This window comes from Homo sapiens, chromosome 5, assembly GCF_000001405.40.
Source record: "Homo sapiens chromosome 5, GRCh38.p14 Primary Assembly".
In the NCBI taxonomy this organism is placed as follows: domain Eukaryota; kingdom Metazoa; phylum Chordata; class Mammalia; order Primates; family Hominidae; genus Homo; species Homo sapiens.
In genome coordinates, this window is record NC_000005.10 from 125264666 (window position 1) to 125292041 (window position 27376).

The window sequence follows — 27376 nt, forward strand, 5'->3', positions numbered from 1 at the left end:
ACAAATTACACTGATGCCTAGCATTCATTAAATACTGAAAATATGTAAGACTCCTCTATGTGCCTCATAACTATCCCACAAGGAAGACAACAGTCTCCCATGTCTTTCTTCTACTATTGCTCCCTGCAATCCAACTTCCATGACGTAGCCAGTTTTGAAAATATAAGTCAGACGATACTTCTCAGGGCTGTCTACTACAGGTAGACTAGTCCTTCACAGCTCACTGGGGCACTTAGAATAATATCCAACCTTTTTGCTGTGGTTTACACTTCCCTCTCTGATCTCTTTCTCTTTTCTCCATCTTGCTGATACAACTGGCCTTTTGTTCTTCAAGAACACGATGTTTGTGGCTGCCTTGGGGCCTCAGCCCTTGGATTCTCTTTCTTCATCTCACCTGCTGGTTTTCCTTTTCCTATTAAGGTTCAACTTAAATTGCTGCCTCCTCAGCACAGCTTTTCTTCACTTCTCAATCTAAAGTAATCCTCCAGGCATCTGTCTCCCACTCTCAGAGCCACTGCTGTCCATTGAGCTCCATAGAGACAGCACTCAGGCAAGTAAGAGGCACTGTGCCTTGCTGAGGCAAAAGAACCAAACACAGGAGAAAGAGATCCTAAGAAGCCAAGAGGCAAAATATCATCATACATATTCTTTGTATAAACTTGTCAGGAACAGCACAAGAAGAGAACTCAGACGGTTCAATCAGCTTCTCAGAATTTTCTAAGAAGTGCTGAGAGGGGTGGAAGACCGTGTCTGCTAAAGAGAAAGGAAAAATGTGAAGACATGGCCATGGCATATGAGGCCCATTACAAAAGAGGAATGAAAACCTATATCCCTCCTAAAAGGGAAACAAAAAAGTTCAAGGATTGCTCAAAAATCAAAGGAGAACATCCTGGTCTATCCATTGGTGATGTAGCAACAAAATTGGGAGAGATGTGCAATAGCACTGCTGCAGATGACAAGCAGCCTTATGAAAAGAAGGCTGCAAAGCTGATGGGAAAATATGAAAAGCGTGCTACTGCCTACCTGATGCAGTAAAAAAGGGAATTGTCAAGGCTGAAAAAAGCAAGAAAAAGAAGGAAGATGAGAAGCATGAAGATGATGATGATGAAAAAGTTGGTTCTAGCAAAGTGTTTTTTTCTTTTCTTTTTTTTTTTTTTTGAGACGGAGTCCCGCTCTTTCGCCCAGGCCGGACTGCAATGGCGCTATCTCGGCTCACTGCAAGCTCCGCCTCCCGGGTTCACGCCATTCTCCTGCCTCAGCCTCCCGAGTAGCTGGGACTACAGGTGCCCGCCACCACGCCCTGCTAATTTTTTTTTTTTTTTGTATTTTTAGTAGAGACGGGGTTTCACCATGTTAGCCAAGATGGTCTCGATCTCCTGACCTCGTGATCCGCCCGCCTCGGCCTTCCAAAGTGCTGGGATTACAAGCGTGAGCCACCGCGCCTGGCCCAAAGTGTTTTTTTCTGTTCTAAAAAGCACTTACCCTGCCCCATACACAACTCACTCCTTTGAATTCAAACAAAAATGGAAACGTAAGACTGGATGACTTGTTTTAAAACTGTAGTGTCTTTTTTATATAGTTAACATACTACCACATGTGTCTTTAAATAGCCCATGCTGCTGGCATTTTCCAAAGCCATTAACCTTGCCTGGTACAGTACAGAGGTTGTAAATTGGCTTGGAAATATAAAGCACGTTCTTTGTGGTACACAGCACAAATTAGTTATATATAAGGATGGTGGTTTTTCTCATCTTTAGTCATCTCTGATGCAGCTTATATGAAATAATGGTTGTTCTGTTAACTGAATCTCACTCTGTAATTGAAAAAAAAGTTGCAGCTGTTTTGCTGATATTCTGAATGCTACTAAGTAAATGCAGTTTTTTATTAGTAAACAAAAAATTAATCCCCTAGCTTACATCTATCACATTGCCCCTTCTTTTCTTTCTTAGCATTTAATACTCTCCAAAATATATCTTTTTTACTCATTTATTTACTTATTTTTATTGGTATTCTTTGAGCCATAGGGATGGTTTCTCCTTGCAAACTGCTCACTGTAGAGTACTATAGTTACAGCCGTGTAGAGTACTTATCCATAGTAGAAACTCACAGGATGTTTTTGTTGAATGCATGGATGAAGAGTGGGTCAATGTTTGGAAACGTGGGGAGAATGTATGATAATCTGGGTTATTGACTCGTGTGAAGCACAGAGCACTGCCACTTTGGGGTACAAATAAAGACTAGATATTTTTCCTTTCCTCAATGGCTTACTATCCTCAGGAAATGAGCATGCTATAGAAAACAGATTTTCTTCCTTCTTTACAAGAAAGCAGCTCGGAAGGATTCTAAAAACCAAAGTAGGTGGCATATATTTAAACTCAGAAAGGGCTGTTAGGTCCACTAAAATCTACCCATCCAAGCCTTACTCATTTCCATATTCAAGAAATTGTAGGCATTTCTAAATGAAAGTGATAATTCAACTTACATACTTTGTGCCACAGATGCACAAATAAGCAGATCTTACTGTGAATCACATATTTGCATATTATACATATAGTATGATGTGTTAGTATTTAACTAGTGTTGTTGATATGTGTATAGAATATTTTTAACAGAAATTGTTTTAGTAGAAAAATTATTTATAGCCCAAATGTCCAGACGCAAACAATGAAGACAAACTAAGTCAATGGTAGCTTAAGAATGATTTGGCGAAGAAAAAAAAAATGTACTTCTCTATGTGTAATCTCTATGGATGGCTATAAAATCACATGTAAAGGACAGGCATTATCAAGTGTGGTATGGATCAGTCAATGGAGTGGAAATTTTGCGTGACTGCAAAGGTGCTTAAAAATCACTGGTCTATATCTCCCAAGAAGTGCCCAATTGTGATTTCACCATGGGAGGAGAGACTAAAGCATATTTGTAGATTAGGAACATATGGATCTCATTTGAGGGCTAGTGAGACTAAAGAGTTAATTGTGTATACATGTCAGTCATCATCAGTCAGTTAATTAGGCAACTAATACCTTTAGGGGTCATGAATCTAACAGGACTGAAGTTGACGGGGCGAGCTGACAGTCCAAGGCCTGCTACCTAGATAGCAGGTTGTGTGAACTAAGCCATTACTTGCTAGAGCAGATGGCACAGAGGAAGCTTAGCTCCTGGGTATTCCTGACTTGATAGCTACAGCGGCCCTCTGGAAAGCAGCAAAGGCAACCTCTCATGCACTTGTTATTTCTGTTAGCAACTGCCAGTCCATTTCACACAGGATCAGAGTGTAAATGGGATCACATATGCTGAATCCGAACAGGATCTCAGGCCACACCTAAACCAACCCCACATTTAACCAATGCAGATACTGAGCTCTAAGTTAGTGGCATGGTTGTGTTTAGAACCCACATTTCTGACTCATACTCCAATCTTTTGTTTACTCTACGGTGTGTAATTTTAAAGTTAAGCATTTGACAACAGGAATTTATATGTCTGTTCTCTAATCGATGAAATTGAGAAATCTAATTTTGCTGACTAAAATGAATACAGCAATCAGGATCTTAGCATGCAACTTAATGGAGTGGATCTTGAAAAAATTGTACCATGGAAATATAGATACCATGTATAAGACATTTAAACAGTATCCAGGAGATTCTTTTTAAAGCGGATAGTAGAGTTCCATGAGCTGGCTCAAGCCTGTAATCCCAGCACTTTGGAAGGCTGAGGCAGGCGGGTTGCTTAAGTCCAGGAGTAAGAGACTGGCCTGTGCAACATGGCAAAATCCTGTCTCTACAAAAAATATAAGAAATTAGCAGGATGTGGTGGCGCACACCTGTAGTCCCAGCTACTTAGTAGGCTGAGGTGGGAGAATCTCTTGAGCCCAAGAAGCAGAGGTTGAAGTGAGCCGAGATCCTGGCCCTGCACTCCAGCCTGGGCAACAGAATGAGACCTTGTCTTAAAAATAATAACAAAAAAAAACACAAACAAAAAATAAAATAAAATATATAGTGGAGATGTAGCTTAAAATTTTTTAAATGTCATTTTAAAAAAGTATGCAAAATAAATCTTTACACCATTGGTTTTCACTTAGTGGTCTAGTTGAGAAGCACCTAGAAAGTTTTAAAAAGCATACATGCTTCATCCCCAACACAGACAACTAAATCAGAATCCTAGGCGTGGATACTGCATATGTATGCTTTGAAACAACATCTTCATATGATTTTAATATATAAATTATGTCAACAATGGGGAAAATTGTACTCTTCTATAAACACTGGATAGAAAAATAAGAATTACAACATCTATGGTTTAGACAAGTGTCAAAACCCCTGTTTCCTACCAGATGTTCTACTATTCCAAACATCATATTACATCAATGGACTTTGCTGTGTTCAAATGCTGATACATAAAACAGTGATATTTCAATTATGTTTCGATTGGAGATGTTGAGACCAAAGAAAACCAAAAAATACATGGAAAACTCTAAAAATTTATTCGAGCTAGGAATTCCCAGTACTTCCTCACCCATGATATTCTTTGCCAAACTTGTTTCCAGGGAGCCATGCTGGCTGGTGTGACTCCTATATCCTTGAGTTCCCTTTGGCACAGAGTGAATAGTCATGTCATGATAATGCAGCAGGAGAGAGAAAGAAAAGGAAAAAAAAGGTCCAGAAAATTGACCAAGTGAATAATTATCTGTAAAGATACCAGAGTTGCCTAATATGAGGGAAAAAATTCACCCTCAGAAAATTGAAATGGCTGCTTGAAAAGGTGGTGAATGGTACCTGCCCATATCATCCGTAAGGTCAATAGTTCAAAGTTTCTTTTATACTGAGCTTAAGAATAGCATACACTTAAGAAAAGTTATTATTTCAGAAAAAAGCAGATCATAAAGAAATCTCCGATTTTTTTAATGGAGGCATATACATCCCTAAACAGAGGAACTGCTTTTATTTTATGTTAAAGTAAGAGTAAGCCAAGTAACTACCAACTCAAAGTCTGAGCTAGGAGTTGTGGGTTAGAATTTCACCAGAAATTTAAAAAGTCTTCGACACCATCTTTTCTCAGTTTGGCCTTCTACCTTCGAGTTTTATCTACAGGGATAAAGTTCTTTTCCTTGTGGCAACAGAACAAAAAGAGGAAACACACCTATGATGCCATGACATAATTGCTTTTTTATCATGGTTTGGGTTTCTGGCAGCTATCAATGCCTTTTGTTCTGGCGTGCCATTGGTACTTTCGGAGTAATCCAACCCAGCCATGACAGTTGTTATTGGATGGAATGTCTTCCTATTGGAGAGAATGCAGTGGGAGTCCACTGTTTTGTGTTTGGTTTCCCTTCTAGCAGCCTTGCCTTTCAATGACATCACTCACAGCACTGATATATGACTGCACTTCCCCAGCTGCCTGTTAGTGAAGCAAAGGTTACGTTCTATCTGGAGGCAGTGTTGTCATCAAAGAGCTCTATTTCACAGGTGTGACATTGCAATGAATAAAATTTTCTCCAAGTGTGCGAAAAGGCCAGAGCAACCTTTATAACAAGGAAACCAATGAAGCAGCAGGATTCCAATAGCCTCCCTAACAGATAACCGGTTTGGCTGCCTCTGATATCATCCCACTCTTCGGCAAAGAGTGACTGCTTTGTGTTCACCTTTATCTTTGTCTTGTTCTTTGGGACTCAAAACAAAACAAAGAAAAAGGCCCATATATACTCAATGAATGGACAGAATATTGATGTCCACTAGCCATTTATAAATAGTCTTTGTCTTCTTAATGACTTGTATTTCACAGAGACCGAGAAAGGTAGTTTGATAGAATCTTTAAGACAATTATTGTGAGAGTTTTAAAAATTAAAGAGAAACAGGCTGGGAAACACTCATAAACCCTCATGAAAATGTTCTTCTGTGTGTCATTGTATTTTTAGTAGTTTGGCAAAATGTTAATTACTGATTAGAGTAAATGATTAGAATCAAGTTTTTCATTTGCTGAGAAGATCTTTTGTCCCTCAAGCAACGACAATGATTTCATAATGGAAAATAGAGTTCTGTATGAAATTGCTTAACTAGAAGCAAGGTGTCTAAGTGGCTCAAACGAAATAAGCTGAGAAGTGTTGCAGTGGGCAGAAAATATTCACTTCTGTTTCCTTGGTCCATTTCAGCAAATGCTTATTTCATGGAGAAAGAACACTATTTCTCAGCACTCTCAAAATCCCTTTGCAAATTGAAAAGAAAAGAAAAGAAAAACATCCCAAAGCTCTTTTTTTCTATATTACCATAAATGAATAAGCTCCAACATAAAATAAACATACAAGAAGGCAGGAAGTGTTCTTGAATATGATAGTTTTACAAAGGAAAAGCGGGAAAAGTGACATTTGAAAGTAGGTCTCTGTGAAATGCTTTTCTGGGATAGGTGAGGAGGAAGAAAAGAGTCTCCCACCTCACAAGGCAAACCATTGGCAATTGGTGCTATGAGTCCCAGGTGGCTCTCTCTTCTTCCATCCCTCATTTTGCTGACTCTCTTGTCCATGCCATATTCTTAGCCTGGGGTCCCTTAACATTCCATGTTAAATTCCTACCTGGAATTATTCCTGTCTCTGTGCCAGAAAGGAGGGAGCAGAGACACTACATCAGGGATTCCAGGCAGAAATTTGTCCCCCTTCAACTTCTTAATTTTGGCATTTGTCTGTCTTCGGCTTCTTAATTTTGTACATTTTTCAGTATCTTCCTGATTTCCAATTTGCCTAGTTTCTTCAGTCCCTTTGCCCCACCTTATCTTGGCTGAAGAAGCATAGCATAATGAAGAATATGGGTTTTGGAGCTCTGAACACTTCTCTCCTGCTTTCTAGATGTGGGATCTTAATAAAATCACTTAATACTTGAAGCCTCAGTTTAAACAACTGTGAAATACAAGTGATGCTAACAAGGGGTTATTTTTATGATAAATGGGAAAATTTGGGGACTGTCCCTCACAATGCTTGATACATAGTAGGAAAGCAGTGCCTGCCATTGCCTCTCCCTCTCCTGAATTCTCCAGAACTCTGCTCTTCTGCATCATTTCCTGATTAATGTTTATTTTTTGGAAGATGAAGGTGTTTGAGCCAGATGGTTGGAAGGCAAGAGAGAACTTCCCTTTTGATATTTATTTGGGTGCATGTTTCCTTTCAAGATTTGAGTATGTAAGTGGCAGTCTTTTGGAAAGAGATCTCACATCATTCCACTTTAGATTTGTATTTTAAATTGTGTAAGTGTAAAGTAGAGCCAGTTGCTTTTAAATAGTCACTTCCAGAAATCTAGTATTTGAGACAGCTTACATTTCTTTTTTGAGATAGCTTAGATCTAGACTTAGCTAAGTCTCTGAGTTCTGGAACTACTCCCTTTTTTTGCTGTTTGGTCTCTGTATTGCCGAATTAACTTTCCACCTGCATCCTTCATGGAAAAAAAAATAGTGTTGCTCTTCCTCATTTCAGGCTCAAGGGTGAGAAGGTCTTGCTGCTATTGCTCCGTATATCATTTTTCCTTTCTTTCTGGCTAAATGCCCGTGCATTTAGAAGCATAAGAAGCATAATTTCAACCATGGTTATACATTAAAATTATTTGGGTAGATTTAAAAAGACTACAATAATACAGTTCTGCCATAGACCAGTGAAATCAGAAACTCTTGGAATTGAACCTAGGCATAGGTATTTTTAAAAGTCCTTTAGGTGACACCAAAATGCCTCCAGGACTTAGAACCAATTTAGAAAAGGGATATTTAGCCCTGTAAGGTGTTAAAAGAAAAATTTCAGTCACATTAAATTTAAGAGTTTAATTGAGCAATGAACAATTCGCAAATCGGGCAGCCTCTCAAGCCAGAGTAGGCTCAGAGACTCCAGGGCAGCCACATAGTGGAAGATTTATGGACAGAAAGAGGAAGTGATGTACAGAAAACTAAAGTGAGGTACAGAAACAGCTGGATTGGTTAAAGTTCGACATTTGTCTTATTTGAACACAGTTTGACCATTTGGCCACATTTGATTGGTCAAAACTTGGCGATTGGCACAAGTGTAGACTATAGTCTGTTTACACTCCCATTTAGGTTATAGTTCATGCTGTACAGAGAAACATTTAAGCCAGACTTACAATAGGTAAGGAGGCAGCTTTAAGCTAAACTTGATTTAACAAAGGCTAATAAGCCCAGTGTGAAATCTAATCTCAAACTCAAAATTGAATCTGGTATGTACCAGGATTATTTTTCCTTTGTCTTGCTGCTCTGTTTTGGATGCCTTGTGTTCCTTAAATTACCTTTTGAATTATTCTGGTATAGACACCATGATATGATATGTTGTTAATAAATAGTGATCGAGAACTAATTCAAAGAAAACCAAACACAAGCTTTCAGAGATGGAAGTTGGGTCTTGGACTGGTAAGTGGTGGTTAAGTCAGGAAGTCTGGGCTGGGGTGCAGGGATAAGATTTTAAAATAAATAAAAATGAAAACACAAAGGAGAAACCTCATCTTGGGAAGTGTGCACTCAGATTTGGGGAGAGAGGCATTCAGCCTTGTAACTGGTCTCTTGCATGTACTTTTGTTTCCTTACAATCTTATTTTCATATGAAAGCCTGCATGATCTTTTAAAAATGCAAATCACTCCTCTGCTTAAAACATTCCAATAGCTTCTCATTACCCAAAGATAATATCTAACTTCCATTTCATGGACAACTAGGGCCCCTGCTTACCTCTTTGTCCCCAACTTGTACCCTTCTCTGTGTTTCTCACTCTGCTCCAAGTAACATGGGCTGTCGTCTGTCCTTAGTAACACACACTCCCTTTTCACCCTGGGCACTTGCTCTTGTTCTCTCTGTTTGGAGTGCACTTTACACAGACCACAGAGACCAGTCCTGAACTCCTGCCCCAAAGCAGTACCCCTCCCACCACCTCCATCTCTCTCTCACATCTTGGTGGCTTTGCTTCAAGGTGCGGTCACATTCTGAAATTATCATGTTCATTTTCTTCCCGCTCTGGAAGGTGAGCTCTGCAGACAGGACTTTGTCTGGCTTGCACACTCCTGTGCCTTCAGCACATGCACAGCATTCAGCACCCACCGTTTGTCCAGAATGTCCCTTTAAGTAAATAAGAAAAAGCACCCCTCTTGACAGACACCAAGACAGACTGCACCCTACAAGCCCATAGTTCCGTGAATCTCTTTGAGAGATTTAGAACAATGTGTTTTCACATTTTTCACAATCTTAAGACTCCTTTGAGGTGTGCAGGCAGATAGTGGGCTGAATTTCAGCCCTTACTTGTTCTACACAATGGTAGGAGGTGGCCGAAGTATCTGAAATCAGGTAGGCATTCATTAAATATTTGTTTAATAAATGAACTTCAGGGGGTTGGTTGTGTCCATTTTCATCAGTGGAGCACGCTCTCCCTGGTCTGGATGCAGCAAAGAGACTCAGCAGTGAACCGGTGGTATGCTGGTAAATGGGTAACAACTGGATCTTCAGAAGAAACAACAACAGCAACAACAACAACCCTGATTTGTGGTTTTTGTCCATTTGTAGTGTTTGTGGTATAAATAATCAATTGAATACTACTAACATGATGTTAATTGATCACAAAATTCCTGAAACTTTAACAATTGTCTCTTAAGAGCTGGTACAAGCCAGTTACAACCAATCAAACTCTACCCCAGTGTTGAACCCTGGGCACCTCAGATTCTCAGTCAGAGGGAATGACAAATGCTAAAATTCCTTGCAGCAGAGGCAAAGATTGTTTATATACTGTCTGTTGGCATCTTATCGGTCTGAGGATCAGGAAATGGCTTATCTTCCAAGTGGAGGAGGGAGCTCCAACATGTTTTAGAAAATAGGAAGAAAACAAAATTAAGGCTGATACCAGTAAACTAATTCATTGAATCTCATTTTTGTCATCTACAAAATAAACAATTTGGACTGAATTCTCTCTATTTCAATTAAATAGGCTAGTATTCCCTATGCTGTATGAAGATTAAAGTGAGGATTGGGGAAAAGTAAAAACTCTGTGGTTTCCATGTGTGAATGAGTTTGTGGTATGCATGTAAGTATTATATTAATCTTTCTAAGCTAGTTAATAGTATATGTTTTTTTTCCTAGTTGGAATAAAATGATTTAGGTTAAATTTGCCCTGAAACTAAATTGAGACTTAAGAACTTTTCCAAATGCTAAGAACACTGTTTCAATTAATACCTGTCATACTTTTTATTTCTACCAGAGCCTGTAGACTGATTCTCCTCTTCACTTCTCCACATATTCCATTTTACATCCTTTGTTTAATTCTGGACTTCAGGCAAAAGTTAAACACATGCCCAGTATCTCAGACAAACAGAAACCCAAAGTGTCAAGTTGGAGGAGCATAAACCACTGTCATCAGGGGCTTAGTAACAGTTTTAAGAGTTATAATTTCTGACGTTGAGCTATCACTTTTCTGAGCAAACACTAGTGTTGAAATATATTATTACTAGCCCTCTCCCCACTCCAACCACCAGAACAAACATCCAGCTTCCCAGAGAAATTTAAGTGTGCACAGATAAGACAGCAACCCTTTGTAGCAGCCTTTAGACAGGGGACACCAAGCTCTAATAGAGGCTGTCATCCTCACATGAGCCACTGAATCATGTTTATATATAACTTGCATATTAAAAAGCAACAGCCAATGTCAATGGTGCTGATATAAAAATATCTTAATAGCCAGTAACTGACTAATGAATACTACTGTAATAACAGTTTAATTTGAAGAATTCTGACAGCTGGTTGCTTTGTTGAGAGTGGTTTCCAAGGAGTCCTAGTCCCATGCTGAGAACATCTCTAGCCTGCTGATTTATAGCAGCAGTGCAGAACTGTTTAATGTCACCACCTCTCAGCTAAAGTAATAATAAACAGGAATGTTATGGTTTATTTTTCTGTATGAATTGTTCAGGCTCTGTGTGGTAAGTACCAACTCAATAGGAAATAATAGCTGTCATTCTCCTGGGAGTTGTAACTGGAGGTGAGCCTTTCTTCTTTTTATTCCCTTTATTTTTTTTTCTTTTTTATCAACAAGGTTTATATATCAGAATGAATGTAGAAGTTCTTGGTTTTGTGGTGGATTTATTTTATTCTTTTACATAGCTCTTGCTCATCCCATTCTGCTTAGCAAATGTAATTACTCTGGTTAAGATGTAGCTTCCCTATTATTTCTGAACTTCCCAAGATAGTTTAAAGCAGACAGCTAGGGCATGAAATATATGGTTCTACAACTATCTTAATTATACTGCGTGACTCTGTGTTTGATATGAAATAGCAATGTCTGGGAAGTGAACTTAATCTCTACAGATTTAGGACGATTGCCAAAAAGATTCATTGATTTTTTTTTCTTTTGCAGAGCGCAATCTTTTATTGTATAAATGTCAGAAGCTTCAAATTATTAGGAAATGTGTCAAGAAGCTCAAGGTATAATAACATTCTTTAGAGAGCTTGATTCTGAAGACAGTGCAATGAAATGTTCAAAAAGAAAACATGTCTTATGTTCTTAGAGAATAAAGCTCTGGGATTCATTTTAATTTGTCATTTTGAACAGGATGAGGCCTCCACTGGGTCCTTTGATGTGAAAACCCTGGGGATGATATACAGCTATTCCTCGGTCACCCCAGTGTCTTTATAAGCTCCAGATTGCAGAGATGTCAGCAGTCCTGCGAAAGATGATACTGACTTGGGATTTGAGGCTTCAGGGCTGAACTGTAAAAAATCACTGGGATTTGTCCAGGTGATGTCCTGAAGAGCAGGTCATGAAAAGAAGGAGACAATATTATGAGCTGTGTCACCCAGCTCAGAGAGAGCTTCTAGTTGTCCTAAAATCAAGGTGAAATCCTTATCATGAAGCAGTGTATTACTTACTATTTTATTGTAGTAATAGATAACCTACTCAAACCTGCTTAAATAACAAAGAGAATATAGTGGTTCACTTTTCTGAAAAGTTCAGAAGTTGGGTGGGCTTCAGGCATGTGGGATTCATAGATCAATGATATCATGAGAGTCTGAGCTCCATTTCTCATTGTTGTGCTCTACCCTGTGAGTCGGGTTTATTCCTGGCCTAGCTCCTCTGGCCTTATATTCTTACTCTCAACCCCATTGTTTGTCTAAACACCTCAAGGAAAAGTCTGAAGGTAATGCAGATTTGACTATCTCTTTTGTCAGAGAGCCCAGAGTCTCTGATTGGCTTAGCCTCATTCACCCTCTCCAGCTATGGAGCCTGATGGATGCCCACATGGAAATCAGGGCTGTTAGGAAGAGGGCAAGGGATGGCTGTGAGGCAGCCAAAGCAGAATGTTCAGAGATGGGCATGCTCTTCTTTCTGGAAAAGTAAAGTTGCCTCAAAGGCCAGAAGGCACAGATTCTATTGCATACCTCTGCACATCACTGTATTAACATATTTAAACTTGGCTGAACTCTCATTAATCAGTCTCTACTAGTTATTCAGTTTATCTTTCAAGGCTTCATAGCATCAGTTCATCTGAACTTTCCAGATCAGACTTCTGCTATTGCTCAGCTGTAATCCTACTGATATGGATTAGGTGTGTATCCACACCCAAATCTCATGTTCCATTGTAATCCCCAATGTTGGAGAGGGGGTCTGGTGGGAGGTGGTTGGATCACGGGGGCAGATTTCTCATGAATGGTTTAGCGCCATCCTCTTGGTACTGTCATCCCAATAGTGAGTGAGTGCTCATGAGATCTGGTTGTTGAAACGTGTATAGCTCCGACCCCGTTGCTCCTGTGCTAGCCATGTGATGTGCCTGTTTCCCCTTCATCTTCTACCCTTATTGTAGTTTCCTGAGGCCTCCCCAGCAGCTGAGCAGATGCCAGCACCATGCTTCCTATACAAACTGCAGAACCAAGAGCCAATTAGACCTCCTTTCTTTATAAATTACCCAGTCTTTGGTATTTCTTTATAGCAGTGCAAGAATGGCCTAATACACCTACATTCTGACTGGGCTATTCTTATCCTACCTCCATGCCTTTGCTCTTACTCACTCTTCCCCCATTCTTATTTGTTTTTCTCTGACTAATCACATCTGACTCAGCCCTGAAGGTTTATTGGAGGAGGCATATTATAGTGATTTAGAGTGTAGGTGCTGGAGTGAGACTGCGTAGGTTCAGATTTAGCTCTATTGCTATGGAAATTTGCAAGTTACTAAGCCACAGTCAGCCATGATTTCCTTGAATTTAAAATGAGAATATAATGGTACCTAAGTCAAGTGTTGTTGTGAGCATTAAATGAGTTAATATGTATAAAAGAGTTAGGCCAATGCCTGGCACTTGGCAAGAAGTCAATAAACATTGGCTATTATTTTAATGCACCATGAAATCATTCCCCAACTAGCCCATGTCTTTCCTTCCTTTAAACTACTGTACTGTTTTGGCCTGAACTCCTCATTGCACTCTTGAACACTCGTTAATTTGAATGGCCAGATAACTTTATACGGATAGGAGGCTTCAATTAAATACTTCTTGTTTCTCTGCACAGAACATAGTTAAATGCCATAAACCTATATTGTAGATATCTAACAACTGTGCATTGAAGAAATGGAATGTGGCTGAGAGTACTCCTATGCATGTTCAAAAAGGATCAAAGCTGGCCAAAACTACCATGTAAGAAAAGCCACTGGAAATTAATCTCTTCAATCAAATATTGCTTTGTGTACAATTAAAATATTATGTCTCCAGAGCTAGTAAAATGCTGACCCGTTTAAACCCATATAATTCAGGTTTAAAACCTTCATTCTTTAGTCAGACTAGATTTACTGAGAACTATGTCGGTTCCTCCCCTCTAGCATATTCCCAGGCAGTTTACTAGGTGCAGGGAATATGGTAGTGAATAATACAATCTCAGACCTAACAGAGAAAGTGAACATTAACTATTACAGGTATGAAGAACTATAAAGGAAATGTACAGAACCTATGTACTGAACAGACATGGGGTTTATCAGTTTGGGAAACAGCACATGCTCCCTTCATTCCCTTGGCATATAGATGGATGTGTGCATTATTTCTGCACAGACGGGGCTGTTATATGTACCCTATATATAGATAGTAATATCTTATATCTGTAGAATGCTGTACACTTTCTATATTACTTCCTTATTTCTCATTTGTTACTCTTCATTATGTTGTCAAGAAGTAAAGATATTGTTCTGTCCCAATGAAAAGCTGAGCGGACTGAAGTGCAGAGGGGTTCAATGCTATTTTCAAGATCAGAGACTGGGAGACGGTTGGAGCTGTGGGTGGGCTTTAGACTGCTGACTTCATGCTCAGTCATCTCTCCATTGTACTCCCCTTTGTGTCCTTCCCCCATCTCTTCCACTATCAGCTGCTGATTATGTGTGTTTGGTGAGGAAAAAGTGGTAAATAGAGCAAGTGTGGCAAATAATAATACCTTTTGGAATTATCCAATTGGACATAAAAAGGGAGCAGGCTTAGAACTCTGTAGCTGGATTCTTTAGTACAGAGGACATCATTGCAATTTCCTTACCTTGTTTTGGGAGTTGAAAAACATTGCCTAAAATTTATAAATTTTTGTTCATTGCAGTTCCAAGAACAGGAAGGACATTTATTGTCATAACATCAGTTTGTTGTAAATGATATTCATCGACCTAGATTTCTCTTCTATCTTTTACATGCTAACCCCTATTCATCCTTAGAGGCAGTTTAACTGTGACATCCTTCAGGAATCATTCCTGATAATTTTTAAAGTCCCCTTTCTCCTCTGCTAAGTGATATGCTCCACTGCTGAGCTCATACATTATCTGGGCTTACTTCTCCATCGTCCTAAAGAAGCATGAGTTCCTCAAAGCAGAATCTGTGCCTCATCCACCTTTGTATCATTAATGTCTAGTACAGTACCTGGCACAGAGTAGTTCCTTGAATAGTTAATGAATGGACGATGTTCTATCTGCAAAACTCTGAAAGATGCATAGTTTGGCATTTCACTAGATCCTGAATCACATCATCTTTTGTCTCAGCTCCTCAAGATTGGCTAATAACACCTTATTGAAAAAATATATGAATTAGCAAGGGAAAACTGAATGTGTCATGCCAGAGTGGTAGCATACTTCCAGTACTTCCATCTCACCACATCTTTCAGAAAATAACACATGATTCTGTTGCTGTCACCAGTGTACAAACTGCTGCTTAGTAGGGTTTTTACACAAATGAAGAAGCAATACAATTCAAAAGTCGTAAGTATAATGGCTCATTACAATCAGCTGTGAACTAAAACAGGAACAAAACTTGTTGCACTAACTTTTGCGATCAAATTTTAGAAGGTTTTGGAAAGAGGGGTGGGGGAAGTGGGGACAGGGAAAGACAAAAGGGGAGTAGAGAGAGATGAGAGGAGGCAAGGGAGCAAAGAAAGGGGGAAGGGACAGAAAGAGCAGAGAAAGAGAGACAGAATGAGACAGTGCCATTCAAATAACTTTAAAAAGTTTAGCTCCCAAGCTATATTCTTGGACTCCAGGAGAAAAATTAATTGCAAGGAAATTGTTCAAAATTCAAGTGTACATAACCCTTTTACCTACAGGAAATTAATAGTTGCCTTACCTATGGACTAAAGCCAGAAGTTGAGGAATAAGAATAGTTTGAGATTATACACAGGCCTACAAAAAGAGCTAGATGGGAAGTCAGGATATGTGGGTTTCAGGTATGACTTCATGGCTCTATTACTCTTTCTTTGTAATGAGAAAAAAGAATTTTGGGTTTTGGTCTAGGTGCCTCAAAGGCCTCTTCTAGTTTTAAAATGTCATGTTAGAGAAAAAATATTTTTATAGGAGTATAAAATTTACAAAAATAGGTAACATATGCTATGGACAAAGAGAATTCAGATTATGATAAAACAGAGAAAACTGAGGTCCCTAATATACCAAATATTACAGAAAAGAAAGACTCTTTACTCCAGATGGCTAATTGAATAGAAGATTTCTGTGAATGCACATGAAAATGGCAAGAGTAGACATAAACTTGGTGTGAAATAAATCAGAACAACCATGCATTTTTTTACAGTGTAGAAACTTGTATTTATAAACAAGGAAACAAGAAAAGTGAAGGACAGAATAAGATAAAGGAGCACATGTAACTCATATATTCTAGGTTCAATGCATTAGTGAAAATGACAGATAAAAAGAAATTTTTTCTCCTTCTTGGATCCATTACAAGGTATTTGTAGAGACTGAATACTATTTCAGCTAATGTGTGTAGAAGCTCTGGATTTTCCTACTAAAAACAGCACTTTTTTTTTTTAACAGTCTGACTTTTAACAATCAGAGATTAAATGGAGCATGTGTTGAGACTCTCCATCTTTGGCATTCCAACTGTTTTTTCATAAAAATGAAAAATAAAAAACACAAAATGCAAAAAACACTGTATCACATAAATAACACATTAGTTGCTATTTCTTCTGCTTGATGAGACTTTTTCTTGATTCAGTCAGCTCTATATCTCTGGCACAGAAAACCTGGGGAAAGGGGATGAAGGGATAGCAAACATGAAATCAATTCTTGTTCTCATTAAGTGAATTCTTTCACATTAAGTGAAAGAAAGAAAAAGATAACAGATTAGTTGTCCACCACCAAATTGCCTGGATGGTAATGGACAGAAAAAAAATGAAATGGCATAAATTGATATGATTATCAGTAGATTTACATCCAATTTCTGAGCTCTCGATGAGTGTGTAGCTAACTTAGTATCACGAAGCCATGGCAAAACTACTGCACATTATTTACATCAACAACAAGCCAGCACAAACTGAGGGCACAGATTCCAGTTGCTGCTAAAATTGCTCCATCCTTGACTTGCAGGGCAGAGTTTCAGCTATGGAACAGCCAAGGAGGCTTTAAGGTCTGAGACAACATTGTGCAAACATTTTATATCCTATAAAACAATACGGAAAGATCCTGTGTTCAGCAACAGAGAAATCTAGATCAAAAGAAACATTTAGAATGAGCAGTTTATGTTGAATTCGACTCACAATGAACAATGTCTTGAGAGAGTTGTCATTCTTGTCACAAACTTTGCAAATATGTGACTCTGCTGTCCATTATCCCAAAACCCACATACTGTCCTTCATTTTCTAAAAGCAAGGAAAATTGCAGATGGCAACAACCTGCAGAAAACTAAATAGCAACTTAGTAATGAGATGTTTGAAGGAATCATGTTGAGACAAACCAGACTCTAGATAAATCAGCCTAAGTATTTTTCACTTATTGTTGAGGATCTCCATGACCACAGTTTTTGACATGGAAAGAACCTGTGAGAGTTCTGGATGACTGTTTCCAAGAGTAACTAAAAAGTTGTTGTTTGTTTTTCCCCCCCAGAAAGTCAAACACCATTTTTAGCTAAAAGCCAAACAATAAGCATATTAGTAACCATTAGGTGATTTCTAGAACTAAGAATGTTTTCATTTCTTTTTGGTTTCTAATTTAAAAAAATAACATCATCAGTTAGTAGGGTGTACTTTAAAATAAAAAATAAAAATCAAAGGATATGTTTGTATTGTATAGAAAAATGACTTTCTGGAATTTTATTTAGCTCAGTAAGGCTCACAATGAAGATATACACGATAAGAAACTCAGTATTCCTCAGATGAATATTGAGACTTGAATGCTGTTTTGTGATGTCTTCATATATTTAAATATATAAAATGGCACATCAGCAGACTAAGATTTCTTGACAAAATCACCATTAGATTATAGATATCTTTCTTTCAAGGTTGACCCTTCTCTCCTATTTTAAAAAATTTTGATTATGAAAAATTTCAAACATGCCGCGAAGTTAAAATAGTATTGTAGTGAACATCTGTATACTCATCACCTAGATTCTACCATTAACATTTTACTGTATTGCTTTATTCTCTATTCATTTGTCTGTCCATCCTCCTAGGTATCAATCAATCCATCTTATTTCTTGATGCATTTCAAAGTACGTTGCAGACTTCAGTACATTTCCCCCAATTCTCCATTAGGTGTATTAGCTAGAATTCAACATTTCTTTACAGTTTTATTCTTATGATTAAAATTGATGATCAATAAAAGACACATATCTTAAATGTGAATTCTGTGTTTTGAAAAATGTATGCATCAGTGTTACCAGAACTATCACAATATTAAATATTACCATCACTCCAGAAAGTTCCCTACACCCCTTCCCAGTCAGTACCTACTTTCTGCCCCTCAGAAGCAATCATTGTTCTTATTTTTGTTCCCACCAAAGATTAGTTTTCTTTAGAGCATCCTTTGAATGGAATTATACACCCTTTGAATGGAATTATATGTATTACCTTAACTCTGCCTACTGCCCAAGTCAACCTGCATTCTGAAACTTATCTGAGTTTACATAGAAAACATGCAATTCATTAATTCTAATTCTGCTCTTGCATAAGTCGTCTTTCAGTTGGCATGTTGTTTGGTGTATCAGTAGTTTGATATTTTTTATTGCAGAGGGAGATTCTGTTATGATTATACCAAAATTTGTTTATTCATTCTATTTATGAACACCAGCACTGTTTCCAATTTTTGGCTATTATGGATAATGTTGCTGTGGACATTTCTATATAGATCTTTAGATCCTGCATCTTATTTCAGGTTCCCAGTCTCTCCCCACAAAACTGACAGTCCATTGGGTTTATGTAGACAACTGTGTACTTCAGACTACCAAATAAGTTTCCATTTCAGGCCCTGCTTGGGCTTGATAAATTCAGTGTAGCACTTTTTTTTTTTTTCATCAAGCATTTGAGCACAGATGGAAAGAATAAAAAAAGAAGAAGTAATGACCTTAGGCATATTCTTGAAGTGTGAATGCACTGTTTTCGTCAAATAACTTCTATGTGAAATATCAGTTTGCAATTCTAGGAGGAAAAAAAAATAAAAGAATTGTTGTATAATCTCTGTACTTCTTCCATAAAGATTGACTGTGACTTAAAATAGCCTGGAGTTATTAATGCTGTAAATCTTTCTGAAAGAGATTTCAGTGCTTGTTCTTCTTGCTCTCAAAAAACAAAACAAAACAAAAGTATAGCTCTCATATAAGTGACACAATTTCGAACTCTATCAAGATTAGTCTGTTTCTAATGCCCAGGGCTAAAATAAATTGTGAAATTCTTAAATATTTATTTAAATAACTGAAAGTATTGTAACAAAGTTTGCTGGTTTAGATAGACCGTTTCAAATGGGCCACCTGAATATTTGAAACTTTGACTTCTGTAAGACTATACAAGGATGATGACCATATTATTGAATCAAATTCTTCAAAGAAATTAGAAACAACTACTTATGTGTAATTATAAGTTGCAAGGGGGTAGTTGGGTAGGAGTAAACAGAAGGGTTTCTCCTAATTTATGCAGTTTTATGCCAAAGGTTATTAAAATGTCATCTAAATTCTTTTTTCTGGAAACCTATGACTATATGATCACACAATTGAAAATCCTGCATAAATGTCATAGAATGAGTCTTCTAAAATATGGAATAATTTTTAAATTATGAAATGTCTAGAGAGATTACATATTTATTCCATGTATTTAAAAAATAAATGTAGTTATCTTTCTATTTTGTCTCTATCAATTCACCTACAATATTTCACTTCTAACACTTCTATTTTTCAGGAAGAAAAATGGACGCTATAAGCTATTACAAGCAAAAAGAGATAAAGTTGTTTCATTAGATTAATATCAAGAAAGGGAAGTGCATGCACAATGCATGAGATCTATAGAATGATACAAATTATTACTAATCTTACTGAAATGAATATTATATCAGCATTTGAAGTGACAGTAATAGCAGATCCTTTAAAATTTTTGTTTTTATTATTATTTTTTTTTAAATAGATGAGAACAGAAAACAGGGTATGGGTCAGGTGAGCCATCTGGCACTAATTTTAACCACCATGGAGGAACCAATAAACCCTGTACTAATATTCCAATCTCTTCACTAATGGTGATAATCAGAACATCTGGTTAGGGTTTTCCTTTACTAGGGTCTCCTGCAAAGATTGTATTAGGTAGAGAAGTTCCTGTTGAGCTGTGTTGACTATCAACAACAGCTTCCTCCACCCTGTCTCTGTCTAACTCTAGCCAGACATATTACCTTACCTCTGCCTACAGCCCAAACCAACCCACATTCTGAATCTCATCTGAGCTTACATAGAAGGCATGCAATTCATTAATTCTAAGAGCAAAACACAGTTTCTACTAATTTTGTGCCTGTTCTTAAACTTTTTGTCTAAACTCTGATTTCTTGTTTTCTAGACTCTATCTTGGGTTTCTGCTACCATATTGCTCAGAATCTACTTTGGGAGCTGACCCTTGGTTCTTCACCCTCCTCAATATTTCTTCTCTGTGTTCTCAGACATTCTAGATTTAGTTCTTGTTTCTCTAGCGACCCTTGATTGCTTCTTTTTCTCTACACCTCTTAACCTGCTTGGATTGCACCCAAGAGTTTAAAATAGATGATAGATAGATAGATAGATGGATAGATAGACAGACAGACAGATAGATAGATATCTCTCCTTTGGCCAATCCAAATTATAAGTCTAATTAAGTATAGCAGAATTCTCAGAGCAGAATTCTGAGGTATGTGGATTCTACTTTGGACTTACCATAATTAGAATTCTGATCTGGGATTTCTGTTCGTCTATACAATGGGAAAGCCATATAGCCAATTTTGTTTCCAGTTATGGCATTCTGTAATAGTATATATATCTTTATGGGAATAACAATTATAACCCACTGTGTGCTACTAAGTAGGTTCAAATATATTCAAAGTTCTCCAGTTACAATGACTATCCCCAAATAAGTGAGAATATCTAGTCAATAGACATTTGCAGTAATCTCAACCTGGCTGCACATAAGAAATATATGGGGAACTTTTACAGAATGTATTGCCTGGGTTCCATTCAAACCAGTTAAATTTAGACCCTGGGAGCAGATATATATATTTTGTAAAATCTCCCACATGTGATTCTAATGTACAGCAAAGATTGTGAACTACTGCAGCAGTCAACATGAGTCAGCTTATTGGACACAGATATTTTTTAAATGACCATTTAAGGAGTAAATCAGACAACATATTTCCTGGAACAATATGGAATATTAATAAATGCATGAATTCATGAAGTAAAATGTCCTATCAGTGCGGACAAAGCTTACCTTTTAGAAAATATAAACATAATGATTTTTGGCCCTAAACTTTATTTGACTCTTATATACATACTGGTTTATCTAAAAGATAATAACTCATCGATCTTTGAAATATGATAGAGATTCTAGTCTTTGGGAAATTTTTCCATTTCTCCTAATAATTTAGTTATATACATTATTTTTAGTCAATAAGTCAGTAGGGTTGTGAATGGGGTGCTAATATCACAGACCTGCAAAGAGCGTTGATCAGGAAAATCACCTGGATTTACTTGATTGATAATGAATTGATCTCATTACCTTTCCACACTCTTGCTCTTAATAAAATTTCACACATATTCACACAAGTATAAAATAATAAGAGCAGAGGACAAAGCCCATGAGTAAGATAAAATGCATAACAGAAGTAATCACTGTGTATTACTACTGCAAAAATCAATAAAGCAAATATGTTATTCTTTTTAAGTGTCATATTACAATAATGTTTTTCTGAAGACTGTTGTCTGCATCCAGTTTAAAAAGGCATCTGCTTGTGTTTGCTTAAAACAAAAGGGTGGTTGATTTAATGAATTATTTACAGGCATGCAATATGGCAACAATGTCATTATGAACTCTCTTCTAAGGTCTCCTCTGGCTACTCCTGGCAGGGTGTCAATTTGCTTGTTTTTATGGTAGGTGCACGAAATTGTAAAGCTATTCAGAGAAATGAGATTTTACCATCGGACTTACTAATGCACACAAACCCAGTAAGAAAGCCCCGGTGACAAGAATGGCAAAACATTTATTCGGCATTAACAATGTGTAATGTGGAGTTTGAGTAAAGAAAGAACCATTAGAATTACATAAAGCTGAAAGCAGCGTTGAAAATGGGCTTAAAAAAAATCAGGACAGACCTATGAGAGGAGCTGAAGAGGAAAAAAAAGTACACTCTGTGACCTCTTTCTTCTTCCTGCCATATATACTACCTATCAGTATCTATATGATAAGGAATTATTGGGAGTGTTTATGTATTTGCACCCGGTGATGAAATATAAGAAATTAAATGAACTTTGCTGTTCATAAAAAATGAAACAAAAGGCTTACAAAGAAAAGTCATAAATACGAAGTAATTTGACAGATTTAAAATCTAATTATTTTATTTGGCATCATCCTACCAATCCCAAATTTTCTAAAACCGCCTTCTATTAAGCCAGTGTACCTAGAGTCTAAACAGACAATGTATGAAGGCAAGTGGCTGTTAGTCGGAAGCATGTCAGAATCCAGTGGAGGCCAAAAAACCAAAATCCCATAGAGATTTTAAACTACTTTCACATAAAAACCACATGTAATTTGGAACAATTTCTTTACTCTAATCAGTGATCAATGATATTGTCTGACAGAGTGATTTGATTGTACTAAAATTTCGTTTTTATAAAAAAATGAAGAGAAGATGTTTGTAAACTAAAACCAGATACTACTGGTAATTTCTTCTGCACGAGCCTACAATGCCAGTCCTAGAATACAGGGAAGGAGCTCTGAAGAGAGCGAGTAGGAGTTGTAGCTCTGTATTCATTCTTCCGAAACTATTTGGCGATCATCTCTGCTAGGCCTGGGAAATGCAGTGGTGAAAGACATCAATATTTTCCTTGTTCAAGAGCATTATAATATGATGGGGAATTTTCATTTGAAGATTTGATGGGCTTTCTATGTTAGAGGTTTTGGTAGAGAACCAGTATTTTTAGCTTAAAATGTTTATTACACTCTGAGGGTCATAATAGTTTAAAGCTATCATTTCATATTTGAATCAAAGACACCAAAAGATAATTATAGTAGATTTTCATATTAACTGTTTCAAAGACAAACTCTTAAATGCTAACGAGAAGTGAACAAAGTGTAAAAGAGTATGATTTATGCTTAATGCTTGAGCTACATACCCTCTCTTGATGGTCTGAATAACAGTGGTATGATTTTATTGTGAAAATCATAGCCAAGGAAAAGGTGCCTCTGGTGAATTCGCAGGGCCAGCATATAAATGCAAATTGTAGCTGCAGCATTTTCCATTTTGAAGATGGAAGAAAATCAGGAAAATCATCCCCTTTCCCACAGCGAGTAATGCCGTCTCTGACTGACATGGCTTTGAGACTCTGATCAAAGAAAGTAAGAAATTAGCAACCATCAGACCACTGGGTAGGACTGATTAATTTTCTCTGGCTCTAGTCACAGATCAAATTCACCAGAATATTGCCAAAATACATTTGCCCTTCCTTAGTCCTAGATAAAAATTTGACACCGGGGTTGCCAAATCTAGTGGGCTTATCTTTTTATGGTTCCTGTAGTCATGTTACTTTTGTACTCTGAGAGCAGCAGGGTAGAAAGGGCTAAGAGCATGGGCTCTGACTTCCAGAAGTCCGGGGTGTGAGTCTTGACCCTTGCCATGTATGAACTATACAGCTTTGGACAAGCTGTTTAATATTTCTGAGCTCCTGTGTTTTCATTAGGAAATTTGGAAAATAGCAATTACTATTATAAAAATACCTAAATAATAGATTGACATTAAGTTTAACTAAGATAATTAATGTAACAACTCTTAGTCTAAAAAGTGTAATACAAGCTCACAAATATTAGACTTTTATTTTTATTTTAAATGTTCTAGTTTCCCTACCAATATCCAACCCCTGGCAATCTTTTAATACTGAGTCACCATAGCAATTTGTAAGTAAGCCATATGAGACCCCAAGTCTACCAGTTGCATGCCTGGGAACCATCACACAAGAGAAAGGCAGAAGAATGGCATTTGAAAATTAAATCAAATTTTCATGTGCTGACTATAAACTCTAACTTCTATGAAGAACTGAAGGATTTATCCCTCTATTTGCATTAATTCCACCCCCAACCAGTGAGAACTGTGATATATGCATCAAGGGCAAGGGCAACAGGGCCACCCCACTCCAGGGCACCTCGCAAAGAAAGAGGTCAAGGGCTCTTCCTGCTGGAAGAGTACTCTTTAGACTGGTTTCCTTCAGGATTTATTTTCTCTTTGGAATATGTGCATTTTCTTCTTCAAATTTCTTCATGTTAGTTTGTCCCTCCTTCTCTCCTAAGCTACAAGTAAGGGACTTAACATTGTCTCTTGTTTGGGAAGAGTTTCTGAAATGGGAGATTCACAACTCAGATGGGATCCACGGGAAAGAAACAAGGGAAGCTGTGCTCTAGGGGGAAGGACTTTTCCATGCATAGGATTTTCACTTTACTATGTGGTTATGGCTCAAGGACAAAAACCAAGGAAGAGAGGCCAATGGGATCTGTGTTCCTTTAGCCAGCAAGGTAGGAGACCACAAAGGGTCCAGAGACTCTAGAATTAATTAAGAGTTCACTCACTGAGAGGATCTCTTCTGCAGTAGCTATTTTTCAGAAATATCTGGGTGTGGTATTCAGTGATGAAGGGTTCCAGGATTCTAATTCTTTTAACATACTCTGGAGTATGAGGGAACAGAATTGATGTTTATTATCAATAGTAAGAAATGCCATTTAATTAAACTCTTTTTGGAAAATCAAATTTGACTTATATCTTGCTCATTTAACTTCACTGTTTTTACTGGCTTGACAAAACAATGCTATTAATAATACCTGTCATATAAGGCCTATAATCAGCAAAAAAACAAGAAGTGAGGAATCAAATATACATTTTTTCTGACTCCCTTATAGTTAATCTCAATTTCATATTTATTTTATATTTTTGAAAGAAATAAATTTCAAAACAACCTATTCAAAATGTTTTATAAACCATTGTAATGCTTTTTATTTATATAGGTTATACATTATTATTTTTAAAGGATTATACTTTAAAGTATGAAGTAAAAACAAATATATTATTGTATACAATTAAAACAATAATAATCCCAAGTTATTATTATTTCAATTTAACAGATAAATGAGCTGATACTTGGAGAAGTTTTAGCTTGTGTAAGATCCCAAAGTTAATAAGTGATAGAATTAGGAAATGAACCCAGGTGCCCTGAGACAAAGTTTTCAATATTTTTTGATTACACTGCAGTTGACTTTTTGCTATAGGATCCAGGTAGTGAGGAATATTGTATCCCAAAATAGAAAAATAAGTTTGTATCAACTAATTTTTAGCAGTAGAATGCAGTCCTCATGTGAAATATCATGCATAAAATGAATAAAATTATGTGGGTGAGCATCTGCTTGATCCCCTCATCTTGCAGAGGCTCTGAGATGCTTCAACTAAATCCAACGGGCTTCCTGCAATGTGGTTTGAAGACATTTAGTGCCTAGCTCTATCTCATCACCTTTGTGCATACTCATGTGTGGGCAGGCTGGCTATATAGTTTGTGAGGTCCACTGTGAAATGGAAATGTGGGGCCCCATGTTTGAAATTATTAAGAATTTCAAGATGATGACAACAGAACCAAGCGTGGGCCTTTGTGAGCGCAAGGCTCTGTGCAATTGGATCGGTCACATGCCTGTGAAGCTGGACCTGTTTGTGGACCAGGATTTACCTTCAAACCCCTTTGCTAAATAGTGCCTAGACCAGGATCTTCATCTTTTATCAGTGATCCTTACCTTTCCCTAATTCATTCTCCTATTCATATGTATATTGGGGAAAAGTCACTGAAACAGTTAAAATTATATTGTGATAGAGGCGGCAGAAAGGAGAGTTATATGTGTTCATATCCATGTCTTCTGAGTTTCATTCTCTGGGGGTCATTTTGGAGAAGAGGAGTAACTTTAAATAACTTGAAAGGACTGTTGCAGGTAGTCATTTCTTCCCTTTATTTGTATTTGGGATTCTAGGAGGACACTTTCTTATTTCATTCAAGGATAGATCACATCAACCCGGTGCTGCACCAAGTCCAGGCAGGGGGAGTCCTTAACATTTAGTTTTCCGCTGCTTCTCTTGGTTTCTAAGTTGTGTAGACAGAACATATAGTAGCAGAGAGAGAGAGTTTGATTGAAGAAGGGGCTAGAGGGATTGCTGGTGTGGGGTAAGATGGCTCTCTGGCAAGGGCAACTGTGGGAATAACCAAGACTGGGCTGAATAGAAGTCATAGCCACACCTTACAGAAGTCTGTGGAAAATGCACAAACCCAAATAAGATCAAAACCACCAGAGAGTGGTAATAGGCCCCGACTGAACTAAGTCAAGGTGGTAAGTTACCCCAGCCACAGAATTCAGCTGTGAACACCTTCAGGACCAGCAGCACATGGATGCACAAGTGACAAATTGCTTGGGGACAAGGGCTCTGCTTCTTTCCCACTCACTCCTGGAAGCTCTCAGAGGCTGTACCTGTCAGCGAAGGGCGGGGGTTGGGGTGGTGGTGGAAACAACCTCTGAGCAAAACATGCTGACTCCAAAGACTAAACTCTGTGCAAATGGGCTGTTTAAATGATCAGAATAGATTGTACTTTAGACAGGATTTGACGTTCAGCAAGTTTTTTTCCTGTTGAACATTAGGCTGGAGTTGGGAAGTTGGTGAGCAGAGTGTGCATAGTGACAGGGCCGAAAGCTTAAATAGTTTAAGACAAAATGAAGTATTTATGTTTTCTTTGCATATCTGAGTTTTGCTATGAGTTAAATTTGGTGAGTCGGCTACATGTGATTAAAAGAAAAATAAAGCAAACAATTTCAAACTGTCTGCTAAAATTCCATACACCCCAGGACTCTCTCATGTGGGAAAATCTGGCGAGGAAAGATTTTTCAAGATTTGATATTACTCCCTATATTTATCCAGTGGCACCCTGTTTTTTCAAAGTATAATTTTCCCACCTCTCTTCTTGCGAAATATAACACATAAGACAGCAAAGTGCATTAAACAGTGCCAGGTTTTTCGTGTTTTCTTCCCAGCAGTGCCCTGGAAAACTGAGCCTGCCAAGAACAATGTCAGAAACATCAATTGACTACAGTGACAACAACATACCCAGAAGGCAGGTTGTCTGACAATAAAGTTGCCAAAAAAGAAATTGCTGTACCTGTGGAGACTTTTAGTAGTTCCACGGAGGTGGTCCATAACCAATAATAAAGGCAGCACAGAGCAGCCAGGCATTCTTTTTTAACCCATTGGGAGCTTCCTGAGGATTCTCAGACATTTGGCTTTGCTGGGTCATCAGGAAAGATACAAGTCTTACCTATAGAACAATGAACATTTTACTGAGAAAACAACGATAGCCATGAAGCACTTCCTTCCTCAGCCCATCTTTAAATTTCATTTTGGCCAATGA

General features: G+C 37.6%; 1 long non-coding RNA gene and 1 pseudogene across 1 annotated transcript in view; both read left to right on the forward strand.

Annotated features, from left to right (window-relative positions):
- The window catches only part of LOC101927421 (uncharacterized), a 330904-nt gene that overhangs the window by 227835 nt on the left and 75693 nt on the right, over positions 1 to 27376 (forward strand). The gene's annotated exons all lie outside the window — the stretch shown is intronic.
- Positions 598 to 1137, forward strand: HMGB1P22 (high mobility group box 1 pseudogene 22; annotated as a pseudogene).